Source organism: Homo sapiens, chromosome 1 (genome assembly GCF_000001405.40).
Source record: "Homo sapiens chromosome 1, GRCh38.p14 Primary Assembly".
NCBI classification, from domain to species: Eukaryota; Metazoa; Chordata; class Mammalia; order Primates; family Hominidae; genus Homo; species Homo sapiens.
Genome location: NC_000001.11, coordinates 45038098 through 45056570, shown reverse-complemented (window position 1 = coordinate 45056570; position 18473 = coordinate 45038098). Strand labels below are relative to the sequence as shown.

Here is an 18473-nt window from a genome sequence, read left to right as displayed (position 1 = left end):
GGCGCAGTCTTGGCAGTGGCACAGTCTTGGCTCACTGCAACCTCTGCCTCCTGGGTTCAAGCAATTCTTCTGCCCCAGCCCCCTGAGTAGCTGGGACTACAGGCATGCATCACCATGGCCCAGCTAATTTTTGTATTTTTAGTAGAGATGGGGTTTCACCATGTTGGCCAGGCTGGTCTCAAACTCCTGACCTCAGGTGATCCACCCACCTCGGCCTCCCAAAGTGTTGAGATTACAGGCGTGAGTCACCGTGCCTCACCTGCTCTAATATCTTTGATCTCAAATTTTAAAAAATACTCCTTTGATATTCCAACTGTCCTCACCAACTATTAACCCATTTCTCTTCTCCCCTTTGAAATAACACTTCTTTAAAAAATTATCTGTGGTCACTCTTTCCATTTGCTCCCCTCCATTCTTTCTTGAGCCCACTCCAGTTGGGTTTCCATTGCCCATTGCTGCCAGTCTCCTGAAGTAGCTGTTGTCGAAATCACAAATAATTTCCATATTGCTAAATACAACAGTCACTTCTCTGTTCTTATCTTACTTCAAAACGCTTAGCAGTTTTCAGTATACTTGACCATACTCTTTTATTTTTCCTTCCTTTTGTAGCAACAGGGTCTCGCTATGTTACCCAGGCTGGTCTTGAACTCCTAGCCTCAAGCAATTCTACCGCCTCCATCTCCCAAAGTGCTGGGATTACAGGCACGAGCCACATGCCCATACTCTTTCTGAAACACTCTTCTCTTGGTTTCCATAACTGCATACCCACTGGGTTTCCCCACTGTGTTCCTGGTGACTTTCACTCAGTCTCCTTTGCAGACTTCTCTGCCTTTCCTCAACCCTTCTAAATATTGAGTGCCCCCCAGCATCCACTTTCCTGTTTACGTTCTCTACCTAAATGATTATATATTCAGTCCCATGGCTTTAAATACTATCCAGATGCAGATAAATCACAAATGTATGTCTCTAGCCCTGATCTTTCCCCTGAGCTCCAGGCTGTGTCCAGCTGCCCATCACTTCTAAGAAACATCTCAAAGTTAATACAGACATCACAGAACTCTTAATTTTCCTGCCAAAGCCTTGTTTTCCCCTTGTTGTCGCCATCTCAATATATAGCATCAAGATGTATTATCTTGTTGCTCAATGGCCAGGCACGGTTTCTCACGCCTGTAATCCTAGCACTTTGGGAGGACAAGGCAGGCAGATCACCTGAGGTCAGGGGTTCAAGACAAGCCTGGCCAACATGGTGAAACCCTGTCTCTACTAAAAATACAAAAAACTGGCCGGGCACAGTGGCTCACACCTGTAATCCCAGCACTTTGGGAGGCCAAGGCAGGCGGATCACGAGGTCAGGAGATTGAGACCATCCTGGCTGACACGGTGAAACCCCATCTCTACTAAAAATACAAAAAATTAGCCAGGCATGGTGGTGGGCGCCTGTAGTCCCAGCTACTCGGGAGGCTGAGGCAGGAGAATGGCATGAACCCGGGAGGCGAGCTTGCAGTGAGCCAAGACCGTGCCACTGCACTCCAGCCTAGGCGACACAATGAGACTCCATCTTAAAAAAAATACAAAAAATTAACCGGGCATGGTGGCAGGTGCCTGTAATGCCAGTTACTTAGGAGGCTGAGGCAGGAGAATCGCTTGAACCTGGGAGGCAGACATTGCAGTGAGCTGAGATCATGCCACTGCACTCCAGCCTCGGTGACAGAGCGAGACTCCATCATTGCTCAAGAAGAAAATTTAAGGGTTATCCTTGATTCCCTATTTTCTTTTACATCCAAACCAAGACCTGTTGATCCTCAGAGTTAGAGGACTGAATGAGATAAAGTGCTTAACACCTTAATTCCTAGCTGATGAAAAGAAATCAGTGATAGCTATTATTTTATTATATTTAATATTTAATAATTACGTAAAATTTTAATTTCCATAGTAGCTACCTTTGCTTTGAGTTTTTGATACTTTTAAAATTTTTTGTTGTTGTTTTTTGAGAAAGTGTCTCACTCTGTTGCCCAGTCTGGAGTGCAGTGGTGCGATCTCAGCTCACTGCAACCTCTGCCTCCTGGGTTCACTCAATTCTTCTGCCTCAGCCTCCCAAGTAGCTGAGACTACAGGCGCGCACCACCACGCCCGGCTAATTTTTCTACTTTTGTAGAGACAGGGTTTCACCATGTTGGCCAGGCTGGTCTCAAACTCCTGACCTCAAGTGATCCACCTGCCTCGGCCTCCCAAAGTGCTGGGACCATAGACATGAGCCACCACGCCCAGGCCAAATTTATTTTTATTGATTTACTTTGAGACAGGATCTCACTGTCCCCTAGGCTGGAATACAGTGGTGTGATCATAACTCACTGCAACTCAAACTCCTGGGATCAAGAAATACTTCCACCTCAGCCTCCCAAGTAGCTGGGATTACAGGCAGAGGCTATCACACTCAGCCAATTCTAATTTTTTGTAGAGGTAGGGTCTCACTATGTTGCCCAGGCTGATCTCAAACTCCTGGCTTTGTGATCCTCCACCTCAGCCTCCCCAAGCACTGGTATTACAAGCATGAGACACTGTACCAAGCCAACACTTTTTTTTAAGTTGTAGGAAAATATGCTTCTGGATACTGATAACAGTCTTGTGAGTGATGTTTTATACAGGCAACTAGTAGGATTTTTTGCTTTGTCTCTTTCTCAGGGTTGTAATTGTATTGAAACAAATTTATAAGGATGTAATTAATAAGACAGAAAACTCATTTGTAACTTATAGGTGAAAGTACTTGTGCTCACTTTCTAGGGATCCTTTTTTTTTTTTTTTTTTTTTGAAACAGAGTCTCGCTCTGTCGCCCAGGCTGGAGTGCAGTAGTTCAATCTTGGCTCACTGCAACCTTTGCCTCCTGGACTCAAGAGATTCTCTTGCCTTGGCCACCTGAGTAACTGGGATTATAGGCACACACTATGATGCCTGGCTAATTTTTTGTATTTTTAGTAGAGATGGGGTTTCACCATGTTGGCCAGGCTGGTCTCGAACTCCTGACCTCAAGCAATCCACCTGCCTCCGCCTCCCAAAGCACTGGGATTACAGGAATGAGCCACCGCACCCGGCCAGGATCCCCTTCTTAATATCAAAATGCCTAGGAAATTGGAACTCCTCCAGGACTAGAATTAGCACCCTGTTTCTTTACCTCTTAAGCCTCTCATCTCACCTAATCTGTTTTCCATTCCTATTATCCTATTGATTTTGCCATTCCTAAGGTCACCAGAGTTCTTCTGAAGTTGCCAGATTTAGTAGCTTCTTTTTTTGGTCCTCTTTTTTACCTGTGAAGATTAAATATGAAAATCTGTTTCTACACTATAGATGAAAAGCCCTTCTTAAACTGTAAAATAAATGTTACTATAATCCCCTAAAGAGTCACTGTTGTAAGTATCAGTTCCTTTTTTCTTTTTTTTTTTTTTTTTGTTTGAGACGGAGTTTCACTCTTGTTGCTCAGGCTTGAGTGCAATGGCGGGATCTCAGCTCACTGCAACCTCCGCCTCCCAGATTCAACCGATTCTCCTACCACAGCCTCCCAAGTAGCTGGGATTACAGGCATGCACCAACACACCTGGCTAATTTTTTGTATTTTTAGTAGAGACGGGGTTTCTCCATGGCAGTCAGGCTGGTCTTGAACTCCCGACCTCAGGTGATCCGCCCACCTCAGCCTCCCACAGGGCTAGGATTACAGGAGTGAGCCACTGCACCCAACACATAATATAGTTTCTTTTTCATGGTACATTTAAAAAATTGAATTGAAAAAATAGAAATGAGGGTTTTTTCTTTTTTTTTTTTCCCATCACCCATGCTGGAGTGCAGTGGTGTGATCTCGGCTCACTGTAACTTCCACCTCCTGGGCTCAAACAATCCTCCCACCTCAGCCTCCTGAGTAGCTGGGACCAGCTGGGTGCATACCACCATGCCCAGCTAATTTTTTGTATTTTTGGGAGAGACAGGGTTTCACCATGTTGCCCAGGCTGGTCTCAAACTCCTGAGCTCAAGTGATCTGCCCTCCTTGGCCTGCCAAAGTGCTGGGATTATAAGTGTGAGCCACAGCACCCAGCCAGAAATTAATTTTCATCTTCAATTAATATCTGAAATTGAGGCTAAGATGGCTTTTCAAAACATTCCTATTTGGCTTTGAGAGGCTTTGAAATAGTGTCCAAATGTACTTCTATCCATGGATGTAACTACATCCTAAAGGATGTTTATATTAAGACATACTGCAGCCAGCCATGGTGGCTCACGCCTGTAATCCCAGCACTTTGGGAGGCCAAGGCGAGTGGATCACCTGAGGTCAGGAGTTCTAAACAAACCTAGCCGACATGGTGAAACCTCATCTCTACTAAAAATACAAAAATTAGCCGGGCATGGTGGCGGATGCCTGTAATCCCAGCTACTAGGGTTGGGGGTGGGGTGCGAGGGGGGGCGCTGAGGCTGGAGAATTGCTTGAACTCAGGAGGTGGAGGTTGCAGCAGTGAGCCAAGATCGCCCCATCTCACTCCAGCTTGGGGGGCAAGAGCGAGACTTTGTCTCAAAAAAAAAAAAAAATCCCAAGAAAGTAATGGTTTTAAGGCATCACAAGTTATCAGCAGTTTGAAAATCCAAGTCCAAATAAATTATTTTTCTTGGATAAGCAAATACCAAGATTCTACTATGTGCTAGGTAATATGCTAGACCCTTTACAAAGGTTATCTCATTAAATTCTCACAATATCCCTACAAAGTAGGTATTTTTATGATCTCAGTTTTACAATTGAATGATTTGATGAAGCTCAGGAAGTTCAGCTAAGCAAAAAAATAAAACCTTTTCTGACTTCCTCGCTTCCAACCATGTCCTTGTGTTAAATGCCCTTCCTCTATGCTGCTTTCATACCCTGAACATATCTTTATCTTAATACTTATCATATTCAAATGGAATTATGTTTATTTATCTGTCTCCCTCACTAGACAGTTCCTCAAGGGTAGGAACAGTGTCTGCTTTATTCACCAGCACAGAGCCTTAACATAGGAGGCTCTTAATAAATATTTATTACACTGCAGATTTGAGCTCAGAGTTCAAGCCTAAATCTGTCTTTATATCACAGGCACACAGATTGAAATAAGATAGTCACTCTACTTTAAGGAAGTGTTGGGAAGGAAAAACAAGCCAGTTCTGAAAATCTTAGCAAGTTTTTTATATTAAGAAAAGATAATGCTTTGGAAACTTTCTCTACCATCTAAAAATGAAACTGAAACATTAAGGCTTACACACACATCAAAGGAGAGATGTTAAGAATATGGGTTGCTTTATTTTCCAGGGGCTTTATGGGTGTGCATAATTTTAAATCCACACTGCAAACTGGAGGAGAAATCCTGCTGGCTGCAGCAGCTGCAGAAGTGGAGCGACCTGGATGTCTGTCCCCTGGAGGATGGAAACTATGGACATGAGCTGCCCAACATCACCAATGCACTTCCCCAGAGTGCCATTCACAGCCCAGGTGAGCCAAGTGTCCTTTTAGGCTCTTTGTACCTGGAACTTCAAAAGGTGGGAGGGTAAACCCTAGAACAATGGTAGCTGGATAGCCTTTTAGCTGTCAGAATTGCCATTCTAAATAAGAAAAGCCTGTGTTTTTATTCATCTTGAAATGCCGAACCTTAAGTAAGGATAAGCTTTTATCTTTGACATTGAGTTGCTGTCCTTTTCCACATCTAGAGTGTCCTTACAGTGCCCAGCATAATGTCCTAGAGCCTCTGCGTGACTCCTGGTCTACTCTTCTGGTTCTTCATGTCTAATGTATTAAATATCTTGGCTTCAGTTGGGGTTGGTTTTAGCTGAGACCTAACTTAGGGGAGGAACAAAAGACCTGTAAGAAGCAATTTTAAAAAGTGTCCTGACCATAGCTTTTCTTACTTCTGTTTTCCTCAAATTTTTATACAGCAAATAGCTGGGTGGGATCATCCTCCCATATTATTGGTAGGATTCCTGCCCCATTTTAAGACACATCCAGTACAGTGATACCATACCCTCCACCCTTTGAGCCCACTCGCCTACAGACATCACTTGACATCAGCATTCGTATCAGTTTTAGTTCAACTAATTCAGTCTATTTGATGTTGTCAATTGATTATTCTTTAGCCTATTGAGAGCCTTTATTGGTAGAAGATTTTATCAGACACTGATTTTACAATTGGTTCCTTTTATTTTATTTTATTTGGAGACAAGGTCTCACTCTATCCCCCAGGCTGGAGTGCAGTGGCGCGATCTTGGCTCACTGCAACCTCTGCCTCCAGGGTTCAAGCAATTCTCATGCCTCAGCCTCCCGAGTAGCTGGGATTTCAGGTGTGAGAGCCACCACGCCCGGCTAATTTTTGTATTTTTAGTAGAGATGGGGTTTTGCCATGTTGGCCAGCCTGGTCTTGAACTCCTGACCCCAGGTGATCTGCCCACCGTCAGCCTCTCAGAATGCTGGGATTACAGGCATGAGCCACTGCGCCTGGCAGTTCCTTTTATTTCAAATAACTCTATTGGTATTTTCAGTCTCAAGGAGGAAATCATGAAAATTTTTGTTTTTGTTTGGTCTTATTCTGTACCATAATTAGTTGTCAGTATATTTAAGACAACTAAGGTAATGAAAGAGGTAAAGGCTACAATTTTGCCACTTCTTTACCCTTTCCTGGCATTCATCTAGCTTCCACAACACAGGAAGCCATCTCTTTGATAGTGGCTTTGGATAGCATAGAGAGGGTCAAATGCATACAAACACATGCTTTGTTCTGTTGCCCAGGCTGGAGTGCAGTACTGCGATCTCGGCTCACTGCAACCTCTGCCTCCCAGGTTCAAGCAATTCTGCTGCCTCAGCTTCCCGAGTAGTTGGGACTACAGGCGTGGGCCACCACACCTGGCTAATTTTTGTATATTTAGTAGATACAGGGTTTCACCATATTGGCCAGGCTGGTGTCAAACTCCTCAAGTGATCTGCCCGTCTTGGCCTCCCAAAGTGCTAGTATTACAGGCATGAGCCACCGCGACCAGCCTGGTCTGGCAGTTTCTTCCTTGTCATAATATATTGGTTCTTTGTTGTTGTTAGCTCTCCTTTGAAGATGTTGCTGCTTCTAAAGCCTTCTCAGATTGATATCAATGACATCAATCAGGATGTGATTGATACCTCTCTCACATCCCTTTACCTTTGGGGCTGGAGAAGCAGTTGATTCCTGCCTATTCTTCATAGTCATTTCTACATAATTCTTCCTACCTTCTTAAAATACCCCCAGGTTTAAGTTTCTGCCATCAAACTATACTGTCTGCCACCATCCTGGTTTTTGTCATCTGTAGACCTCTGGGTCAATCCCTCTCAGTCCTTGAAGATTTTTAGCTATTGGCTTAGTAATACTACTTTCTATCACTATTCTGATCATAATTCTTTTTTTAATTTCTTTTTTTGAGACTGGGTCTCACTGTGTCACCCACGCTAGAGTGAAGTGGCGTGATCTCGTCTCACTGCAACTTCTGTCTCCCAGGCTTCAGTGATCCTCCCATCTCAGCCTCCCGAGTAGTTGGGACTACAGGCGCAAGCCACCACTCACAGCCAAATATTTTTTGTGAGTGTATTTTTTGTAGAGACAGGGTTTCGTCATGTTGCCCAGGCTAGTCTCGAACTCCTGAGCTGAAGCAATCCTCCTGCCTTGGCCTCCCAAAGTGCTGGGATTATAGGCATGAGCCACCATGCTGATTCCTATCATAATTCTTGATGACTTCAGTAGCCACATAGATGACCCTTCCAATACCCTGGCCTCTCAATTATTTGATCTCCTCTTTTCCAGTAGTCTCATCCTCTACCATAACTTAGCCATTCAACCTCAAAATCATACCCTAAACCTTGACATTACCAAAAACTACACCCTCTTCATAATCTCAATTTCATGCATCACCAGTTACCACCATCAATCTTGCTAGCTTCTTTTCTTTAGTATCCCAGTTTCAATAATTCTTTTACCCACTAGGAATTTTTGTCTTACTGTGTAAGACAAAATGTGTTTTCACTCTGATAGCCTCATTTTCCTCCTCATCCACGTTAGAGTCCTTGGTAACTCATTACAATCACTCCTTTGCATACACACTTAACTCCCTCTTTGTCTTTGATACACTGATGGAAAAACTCTAAACTTAGTTCATTCCAGCTCTAATTACTTGGTACACTTGCACAGCTGAATATGGCTGGAGAGAAACAACCATGCCGGGCACAGTGGTTCCTGCCTATAATCCCAGTACTTTGGGAGACCAAGGCTGGCAGAACCCTTGAACTCAGGAGTTCGAGACCAGCCTGGGCAACATGGTGAAATCCTGTCTCTACAAAAAATACAAAAATTAGCCAGGTATCGTGGATTGCTTGAGCCCAGGAGGTCAAGGCTTCAATGAGCCACGGTCATGCCACTGCACTCCAGCCTGGGCAACAAAATGAGACCCTGTCTCAAAAAAAAAAAAAAAAAAAGAGAAAAGAAAAGGAAAGAAAGAAAGAAAGAAAGAAAGAAAGAAAGAAACAACCATAATAACTGGTCTTATTTTAAGTTTATGACCACTCATTTCAAGTGGGTCCTCAGTACTTTCTAGACATCTAGTACATTTCCCTAGTCTGTGCCATCTTTCACTCTTATAAATTACTATTTCACACCATCTTTTTCCTAAAATTTTCTGTACTTCCTCTCCTTCCTCAGTTTCAACTGAGGCTTGCTTCCTGTTTACTAAAAATAAAGAAGCAATCAGAAGAGAATTTCCAAAACTCCACCACCACATCTGGTGGTGATGGGTCAAAAGAAATACTGTTCTAGAAGGTCAGAGAATTACTGTCTTTGCCCATCTACTCTGCCTCTTCCCCTGTTGCAGTCTATGCTTCTAAATCCAAGCCCTCCAGTTGTTCTCAAGATCCTATTACATCACTTTTATCTAGGACATCACTCTAGGAATTAACAAGAAATTATTTCCTCTCTCTCCTGCATCTCCAATTTTTCACTCTCCATGAATTATTCTTGAGTGTACAAGCATATTGTTATATTTCCCATACCAAAACAAAACAAAAAACACTCTCATGACTCCACGTGCCTCTCTGGGTGGTAGAAATGGGTGGTAGAGTTAGGAAAAATCATTAAAAAGAATAGTACAGATTTGCCATCTCCATTTCTTCTGTTCTTAGTCTCCCTTGAATTCACTCCAAGTCAGGCTTTCAATCCCTACCATTACTGAAACAGCTCTTGTACCGGTTACTTATGCTAACTGTTGCTAAATCTAGTAGTTGTTACTAATGCTAACTGTTGCTAAATCTAGTAGTTGTTCTCAACTGATACTTGACCTATCCGCAGTATTTGACACATTAGTCACACTCTCCTTGAAACTTTGTCATTTGACTTCCAAGAAACCATTCTCTCTCGGTTCTCAGTTCATTGACCGTTCCTTCGAAGTGTCTTTACTGTCTCTACCCCATTTCCCAATCTAAAATGCCATAGTGCCCAGGGATCTGTCATCAGACCACCTCTCTTTCTTTTTTTTTTTTTTTTTTTTTGAGACAGAGTTCGTTGCCCAGGCTGGAGTGCACTGGTGTGGTCTTGGCTCACCACAACCTCTGCCTCCCAGGTTCAAGCGATTCTCCTGCCTCAGCCTCCCGAGTAGCTGGGATTACAGGTGCCCACCACCACGCCTGACTAATTTTTGTATTTTCAGTAGAGATGGGGTTTCACTATGTTAGCCTGGCTGGTCTCGAACTCTTGACCTTCTGATCCGCTCACCTCTGCCTCTCAAAGTGCTGGGATTACAGGAATGAGCCACCGCGCCTGGCTACCACCTCTCTTTCTATACTTCTTTGTTGATTGCATTGTTTTAGTAATCATTTACATACTAACAGCTCATATATGTGTATACACACACACACACACACACACACACACATATCTTGCCCAGACCTTTCCTCTCAACTCTAGATATGTATATTTAACTGCCTTTTTGATATCTCCATTTATCTGTTAACAGGCATCTCAGTAGGATTCCTACCCCTCAAGCCCCACGCAAACCTGCTCCTCTTGCAGTCTTCCTGTCTCCATATATGGCAACTCTCTTAAAAACCTTGGAGTCATTCTTAATTCTTTACTCTCTCTCACCCCAGCTGTAATCCATGAGCAAATCCAATATATTGCCTTTATCTTTGAAATATATCCAGAATCCAACTACTGCTCATCATCTCCACTCTTTATTTCTCTGCCAACTACCATCATCTCTCAAAAATTATTGTAGTGCCCACCTGACTTCTCCCTCTTCTTCTGCCCTTCCACCTTATAACCTATTCTCAGTACTGCTGCCAGAGTTATCCTTTTAAAATGCAAGTCCCATCATATACCTTCACAGCTCAAAGCTCTTCAGTGGCCTCTCATCTTTCTCAAAAACCCAAAGTCATCTTTTTCTCATGGTCTACATGGCCCTCCATGATCTAGTTCTCTAATATGTCTCTGACCTCATCTCCTGTGATTCTCCTGCTTGCTCATTCCATCCAACTATACTGGCCTCCTCACTCTTCTCAAACACTCCAAATATACTTCTACCTTAGGACTTAGTGCTTGCGGTTCCTTTTGCCTGGAGACCATTCTATATATGAATAAAACAATAACCCCCTGCCTAACACCAGCTTGCTTTTCTCCCTAACTCTGCTTTATACTTTTTCATAGCACTCTTAACTGTACGACATATCTGATATACTATATATTTACTTAACTGTCTCTCCCTAGTTGAATGTAAAGGTCCATAAAGACAGGAACTTTGTATGTCCTAAACACTAAGAACAGTACCTACTGTATAGTAGGCAGAAATTATTTGCTGATTTAATCAATTTAAAAATATATTGGGAGCCCAGTACCCACTGTGGGTTGAGCAGACCGGTGGATTCTCAGTTCAGCAGTAGAGGAGCTTAGATTCCAGCCAGTAGAAGAGTCATTGTGCTTTCTGTGAGGGACAACATGAAGGAGAAGCAATTTCAGTAAATACTGTCAGTGCTACTCTAATGATAATATCCTTCAACCATCTGAGCCTGTACCCAATGGGATGTATTAAATTCTAAAGAAATGACCAGATTCCAAGGACTTTTCCCGAATGGTTGAATATGTTAAGTTCTTTCATATTCAGTATGAATTCTCTGACATTCCCTCATAATTTTTTTGCACAGAATCAGTAGGTACACACCTCATTTGGGCATCTCTGGAAATGTCCGTACAGTATAATACTTCAGTTCTTGATCCCAAAATAGTTTAAATTGCCATTAATCTGGCAAAGCATCAGTTAAATGACTCCCTCATGGTTTCTTATTACCTTAAATATCATTTCCATGATCCTCCCTAAGTCTGTGGTTTGTGGCAAGATATCTTCCATTTGGTCCTCCTACATACCACCCTTAAGAGTTGAGCCTACATTTTTGTCTGCAGTTTTGGTTTCCCTGCAGCCCTTTTCCTGAAGGGAGATGGCATGGTAAGATAAGACTCCAGTGAGAAAACAAGTTTGTCTTTTATTAGCATCAGTTTTTTCTTTTTCTTTTTTCTGAGGCATGATCTTGCTTTGTTACTCAGGCTGGAGACCAGTGGCATGATCTCGGCTCACTGTGGCCTCAACCTCCTGGGCTCAAGTGATCCTCCTGACTCAGCCCCTCTGAATAGCTGGGAATACAGGCCACGCCACCATGCCCGGCTAATCTATATATATATATTTATATATATATATTTATATATATATATATATTTATATATATATATTTATATATATATATTTATATATATATATATATATATATATATATTTTTTTTTTTTTTTTTTTTTTTTGAGACGGAGTCTGGCTCTGTCGCCCAGGCTGGAGTGCAGTGGCGCGATCTCGGCTCACTGCAAGCTCCGCCTTCCGGGTTCACGCCATTCTCCCACCTCAGCCTCCAGAGTAGCTGGGACTACAGGCGCCCGCCACCATGCCCGGCTAATTTTTTTGTATTTTTAGTAGAGACGGAGTTTCACCATGTTGGTCAGGATGGTCTCGATCTCCTGACCTCATGATCCGCCCACCTCAGCCTCCCAAAGCTCTGGGATTACAGGCGTGAGCCACCGCACCCGGCCCAATTTTTATATTTTTTGTAGAGAGCGGGTTTCACCACATTCCCCAGACTGGTCTCAAACTCCTGGACTCAAACAATCCGCCAGCCTCAGCCTTCCAAAGTGCTGGGATAACAGGTGCGAGTCATCACACCTGGCCTCATCAGTTTTTTCTTATTGGGAAAGAAGACTGTAAGCCTGCAGATATCAGTGTAATAAAGGTACCTGAATATACAGAGCTTCAGCTCTTTCTCTCTCTCTCTTTTTTTTTTTTTTGAGATGGGATTTTGCTCTGTCACCCAGGCTAGAGTGCAGTGGTGTAATCTTGGCTCACTGCAGCCTCTACCTCCTGAGTTCAAGTGGTCCTCCTGCCTTAGCCTCCCAAGTAGCTAGGACTACAGGCATGTGCCACCATGCTGGGCTAATTTTTAAATTTTTATTTTTTGTAGAGACAGTGTCTTGCTATGTTGCCCAGGCTGGTCTTGAACTCCTGGCCTCAAGTGATCCTCCCACTTTAGCCACCCAAAGTTCTGGGATTACAGGCAGGAGCCACCATAGCTTCAGCTCTATTTCAACTCTTAATATGAATTTCATGAAAGTCCTTGGTCTGATAAGGGAAAGTTAGTATGAAACAAGTTACAGATTGGCCAGGGATATTACCTAGCTTCTTCTCTCTACCTTTGACCTTGATAGAAGCAGTTTGTGTCTTCATGACTGAGTGGCTAAGCACCACTACTCCTCTTCTATTTCATGTAGCTTCTGGATCTCAGGAGAAATTAGTCTTCTGTAGAAGGAGGAAGTAAGCCATAGATCTCTGTGGGAAGGTTATTCCTATAAAGAGCACACACACACTGAAAGCTTATCCAAGAAGGAGGCAACACAACAGATACTCAGAGAGATTGCAAGTGGCTGCTCTCATTGCCCTTCCTTATAACCTGTTCTCAATACTGCTGCCAGAGTTATTCTTTTAAAATACTATTATTCAGCCAACCTCCCACCCTGAAGAAGACCCAGGGCTTAAAACTTCAAATTGCCTGTCACTGTACTGCTGCATGTTCTTCTTTCTCCAGACTCCTTATCCAGACCAAGACGAACAGTATTCACTAGAGCCATTGAGGGGCGTGAATTACATTGGCAGGATAGCCACCTACAGCGAATAATCAGCAGTGATGTTTATACAGCTCCTGCCTGCCAGCGGGAAAGTGAAAGACTACTCTTTAATTCCCAAGGCCAGCCACTGTGGCTTGGTAAGTCTAGCCCTCCTCTAAGAACTTTAGAGCCACCCTCACTTCATGCCAGGCCCAAATGAGCCATCTTCATACGTACCTGCAACTCAAACTACAATTTGGACAGTTTTCACACAGATATTTTGGGGCTTTTATTAGGGATATTTATGTGAAGCCTAAGCCATTTGCATGTATACTCAGTTGTGATACAGCAACCTCAAATAAGAATTTGCATCCTGTCCTCTAAGTTTTGAGGGGGTGAAAGGAGTTAATGCATCTCAAAGAGCATTAACAAAGCAATTAGGCCTCAGTTCACAGCTTCTCTGAGTTATTGAGCAACATTATAGTCTACTCTGAAATTACATGTTTTGTTAAAAAAGCACTAATTTGAATTTTTTAAAATCTCCTATGCTAGTAAGTAGACACAATCTGCATTTGTCACCAAGCAGTCTTCCTTTTCTCCTCCCCACCTTCCTACCTTCGTTCATGATAACAGGATAGAGCTGTTTCATTGTGAGTTTAAACCCTCCTCTGAAATAGTTTCCTGGCTTTCCCTCAATCAACCTGTCCCTGACTTTATCAAAGGATACCCATTTCAAAAGAGACATTCTTTTTAAAATATTCATTTTCCAAGCCTTACAGCAATGACATACATTTTCATTGTCTTCTCCCAATTCCCTGCCTCCATCTCTCACACCATATCTTTGTCTTGCTCAAGATTTTGCTGAATCTAGATATGCCCCTCTCTCTCTTGAAAGCAATAGCCAGACTCACCGTGTCACCACCTGAAGTTTCCTCTGATCATCTTTCTTCTCCTGTGATCCAGCACTTCTGAAACGTAAATCTAATAAGCATGTGAAAGAATATACATCTCATTAACAAAGATGCAAATTAAAACAACACTGAGCATTTTTTGATTTTCAAATGGTCAGGTGTTTTTAATTAAGATAATTAGTTTCTGGTGTGGGAGAGGTTACATGGAGCTAGGTACTCTCATTTACTACTTATAGGAGTGTAAATACTTAGTCTTTCTGAAGGGTATTTCTTCTTATCAAAAGCCTTAAAATATGTTCATCCCATGTGATCCAGGAATTCTACATGTAGGAATTTATCCTGAGCCATAATTAACTAAGGATATGCATATAGCTAAGGGGCTCATTACAGCATGGATAAAAATAAGGTACAGATGAGAAAAATTGGGAACCATATAAATGTCCAACAATAGGGGATTGATTAGCTCAATAGATATACATGTATTCACCAGAATTATATGTAATCATTTTTAATGTTATAGATGTATATTTGATAACATGGAAAAATATTTACAATGTGTTATTAAGTGGAAAGGCCAGTTACAAAACAGTAAGTATAATACCATCCCATTTTTAGTAAAAACTTACTAGGCTGGGCGCAGTGGCTCACGCCTGTAATCCCAGCACATTGAGAGGCTGAGGTGGGTGGATCACCTGAGGTCAGGAGTTTGAGACCAGCCTGGCCAACATGGTGAAACCCTGTCTCTACTTAAAATACTAGAAATTATCCGGGTGTGGTGGCACACATCGGTAATCCCAGCTACTCAGGAGGCTGAGGCAGGAGAATTGCTTGGACCTGGGAGGCGGAGGTTGCAGTGAGCGGAGATCACACCACTGTACTCCAGTCTGGGTGACAGAGTGAGACTCCATCTAAAAAAAAAAAAAAGTTACTAGAAAAGTGTGAGTAAATATACATGACACTGGAAAGAGTGATTATTTCTGATTTTTATTTTATATTTCTTTATATGTATTTTCAAATTTTCCGCAATTCTATAATTTTTAATTTTATCTTTAAGAAAAAAAGCACAAAATAAACCATAAAGCTTGTTATAGTTACTCACCTATTTGTAAGTCTTTGGTTTGGTAGTCTTCCATTATCCCTAAGGTAAATTCAAACTCCATAGAATGGCATTCACAGCTGTTTACATTCCAGACTCTACCTTTTCCAGGCTATCTTAGGCCACATAACATAATTCTAACTACATGGAACTATTTGCCATACTCTGAAGATGGATGCTATTAATATATTGAATAATTTTTATGCTTTTACAATATGCCCTTGCTTATGTTTCCTTTGTCAGGAATGTCTTTCCCTGTTTGTCTACCTGTTTGAAATCTTACTTGTCCTTCAAAGCACAGCTCAAATATTATTTTCTCTCTGTATATATTTCTATCATGTTACTTCTTTTTAGCTGCTTTATAATTACATTTATGTATCATTTGTGAGCTCTTTGAGGGCAATGACCATTTCCTATTCATCTTTGTACTTTCTTTGCCCAGCATACTCCCTGGCATTTAATAGGTTTTCAGGAAATGTAGGATTAATTAAATGAATGAGACTTTTCCCATTAGGCAGTTAGTTGCTACCTCCATTGGTTTCCCATAGTATAATATATGTTTGCAAAGAGAAACTACATTTTATTATCCTACTTGTGTGTCCCTTTCTACACCATAGACCACGCTGAGGCTGCAAGGTAGCTCTTTCAAGATATCACCTGTGATTTATTCAACTTTTTATATCCTTAAAGATAAAGACACAGTTCCTGGTATACAGTAGGTGTCAGGTTGAATTTGAGGAACTGGACTGAATACAAACTCTCTTTGTCAGGTATAAATTTTCCTGACTTGAAATTTTAACTAGACCAAAATATCTTCTTCTTACTTGGTAGAGCATGTGCCTACAGCCTGTGCTCGAGTTGACGCCCTGCGTTCCCATGGTTATCCAAAAGAGGCCCTCAGACTCACAGTGGCCATTATTAATACTCTGAGGTTGCAGCAGCAGCGGCAACTGGAAATCTACAAGCATCAGAAGAAAGGTATAGTAATTAGGAGCCATCTAACCCCCTTAGGCCCAAAGCTGATGAGGATCCTCAGGGGATACAAGGCCCAGAAGAACTAGGGAATTCCGGGTCATTCTCCTTGCTGTGTGGAATGCCTCACTTTATCTTTATGAATGTCAGTTTTCTCATCTGTTCATTTGGGAATAATACCTGTTTGCCTCCCTCATAAGGCAGTTAGAAGGCTCATTAAGATCTGGTATGAGAAGACCATTTTTAAACTCTAAAGCTGTGGACAGGCATGGTGATTCACACCTATAATCCCAGCACTTTGGGAGGCCCAGGTAGGAGGATTGCTTGAGGCCAGGAGTTTGAGACCAGCCTGGGCAACATGGTGAGACCCTATCTTTACAAAAATAAAATAAAGGCCAGGCATGGTGGCTTACGCCTGTAATCCCAGCACTTTGGGAGGCCGAGGCAGGCAATCACCTGAGGTCGGGAGTTCGAGACCAGCCTGACCAACATGGAGAAACCCCATCTCTACTAAAAATACAAAAAATTAGCTGGGCGTGGTGGCGCGTGCCTGTAATCCCAGCTACTTGGGAGGCTGAGGCAGAAGAATCGCTGGAACCCAGGAGGCGGAGGTTGCAGTGAGCCGAGATCACACCATTGCACTCCAGCCTGGGCAACAAGAGCAGAGCTCCGTCTTAAAATAAATAATTAATTAAATTAAATTAAATTAAATATGCCAGGCACAGTGGCTCACGCCTGTAATCCCAGGACTTTGGTAGGGTGAATCGGGTGGATCACTTGAGGCCAGGAGTTCAAGACCAGCCTGGCCAACATAGTGAAACCCCAGTTCTATCAAAAATACAAAAATTGTCAGGCATAGTGGCACATGCCTGTAGTCCCAGCTACTCTGGAGGCTGAGGCACGAGAATTGTTTGAACCCAGGAGGCGGAGGTTGCAATGAGCCAAGATCACGCCACTGCACTCTGGCCTGGGCGATAGAGCGAGACTCTGTCTCAAAAATAAATTTTTAAATAAAATTAACAGGGCATGGTGGCATGTGCCTGTAGTCCCAACTATTCAGAAGACTCAGGTATCTCTTAAAACAAAAACCTGTAAAGCTCTATCCACGTATGCACTACCAGCAGGCAACCCAAATGCAGACCACGTGACCTTATAGCTGGCTGGTATGTTTGTGGCCAGCCGTATCAACCCAAGGCAAGACAATAGAGAAGCTTTTATTTGACTCTCAGGGTCAAGGCTGGAGAGACTGATAAGAAGACCCAGGCAGGGACAGACAGCAGTTTGTCTCTATCACTGTCTAAAATTTTAACCTGCTTGTTTCCAGAACTGTTGCAGAGAGGAACCACAACCATCACAAACCTGGAGGGCTGGGTGGGCCACCCCCTGGATCCCATCGACTGCCTGTTTCTCACTTTGACTGAGGCCTGCCGCCTGAATGATGATGGCTATCTGGAGATGTCAGGTACAGGGGTCAGCCTGAGGCAAACCAAGACTGCCCTTGTTGGTTAGCATGGTGGCTCACACCTGTAATCCTAGCATTTTGGGAGGCCAAGGTGGGTGGATTACTTGAGTTCAAGAGTTCAAGACCAGCCTGGGCAACATGGCAAAACCCTGTCTCTACAAAATATTAGCCAGGTGTGGTCAGTCGCCTGTAATCCCAGCTACTTCGGGGCTGAGGCAGTAGGATCACTTGATCCCAGGAGATCGAGGCTGCAGTGAGTCAAGATCACACCACTGCACTGCAATCTGGGTGACAAAGTGAGACCCTGTTTCATTAAAAAAAAAAAAAAAAAGACTGCCCTCGTCAGCCCTTTTCTCCCTTCCAGACTCTGTTCTACCTCCTTTTGAAGTTTTTTCCCCCTCTTGTCCAAACTAGAGCACCCTGAGAGGTTTCTTCATGCTTGCCCATTTCCCACCTTCCTTTCCTACCCTTTGGTCTGGCCTTGTCCTGATTTTGCATTTTACCTTGCCAGCCTTCCTTGTTCCTTTTATTTCCCTATCATAAATGCCTAAAGAATGTAGTCCAAGAAGAATAACAAGTGATAGAGAAATTTTAGCAGTCAGAGGCGAGAACCTAGAGCAGTCTGAAAGTGGGAAAGAACTTCCATTAAGAATCTGTGTATCCCTTGCAATTGCATAATAATATTTTCTGGTTTCCTTTGAACTTTCTTCCACATGATGGTTTTGTACCAATTTTACAAATAAGAAATAGAGGAGAATAATTTAATAGAGCCTCAAGACTCTATTAGAGTAGCCAAGAATAGATAGAGACAAAATTGATTCTTTTTTCTTTTATACCT

General features: G+C 42.7%; 1 protein-coding gene across 3 annotated transcripts in view; it reads left to right on the top strand.

Annotated features, from left to right (window-relative positions):
• Positions 1 to 18473, top strand: part of ZSWIM5 (zinc finger SWIM-type containing 5) — a 190207-nt gene that overhangs the window by 150035 nt on the left and 21699 nt on the right. For 2 of the 3 annotated variants that reach the window (NM_020883.2, XM_011541861.4), the window contains exons 5-8: positions 5318 to 5497; positions 13176 to 13352; positions 16033 to 16179; positions 17498 to 17635. In NM_020883.2, the coding sequence (NP_065934.1) occupies positions 5318 to 5497; positions 13176 to 13352; positions 16033 to 16179; positions 17498 to 17635 (642 nt within the window). The remainder of the gene's footprint in view (positions 1 to 5317; positions 5498 to 13175; positions 13353 to 16032; positions 16180 to 17497; positions 17636 to 18473) is intronic. The other variant, XM_047426192.1, reaches the window with a different exon arrangement.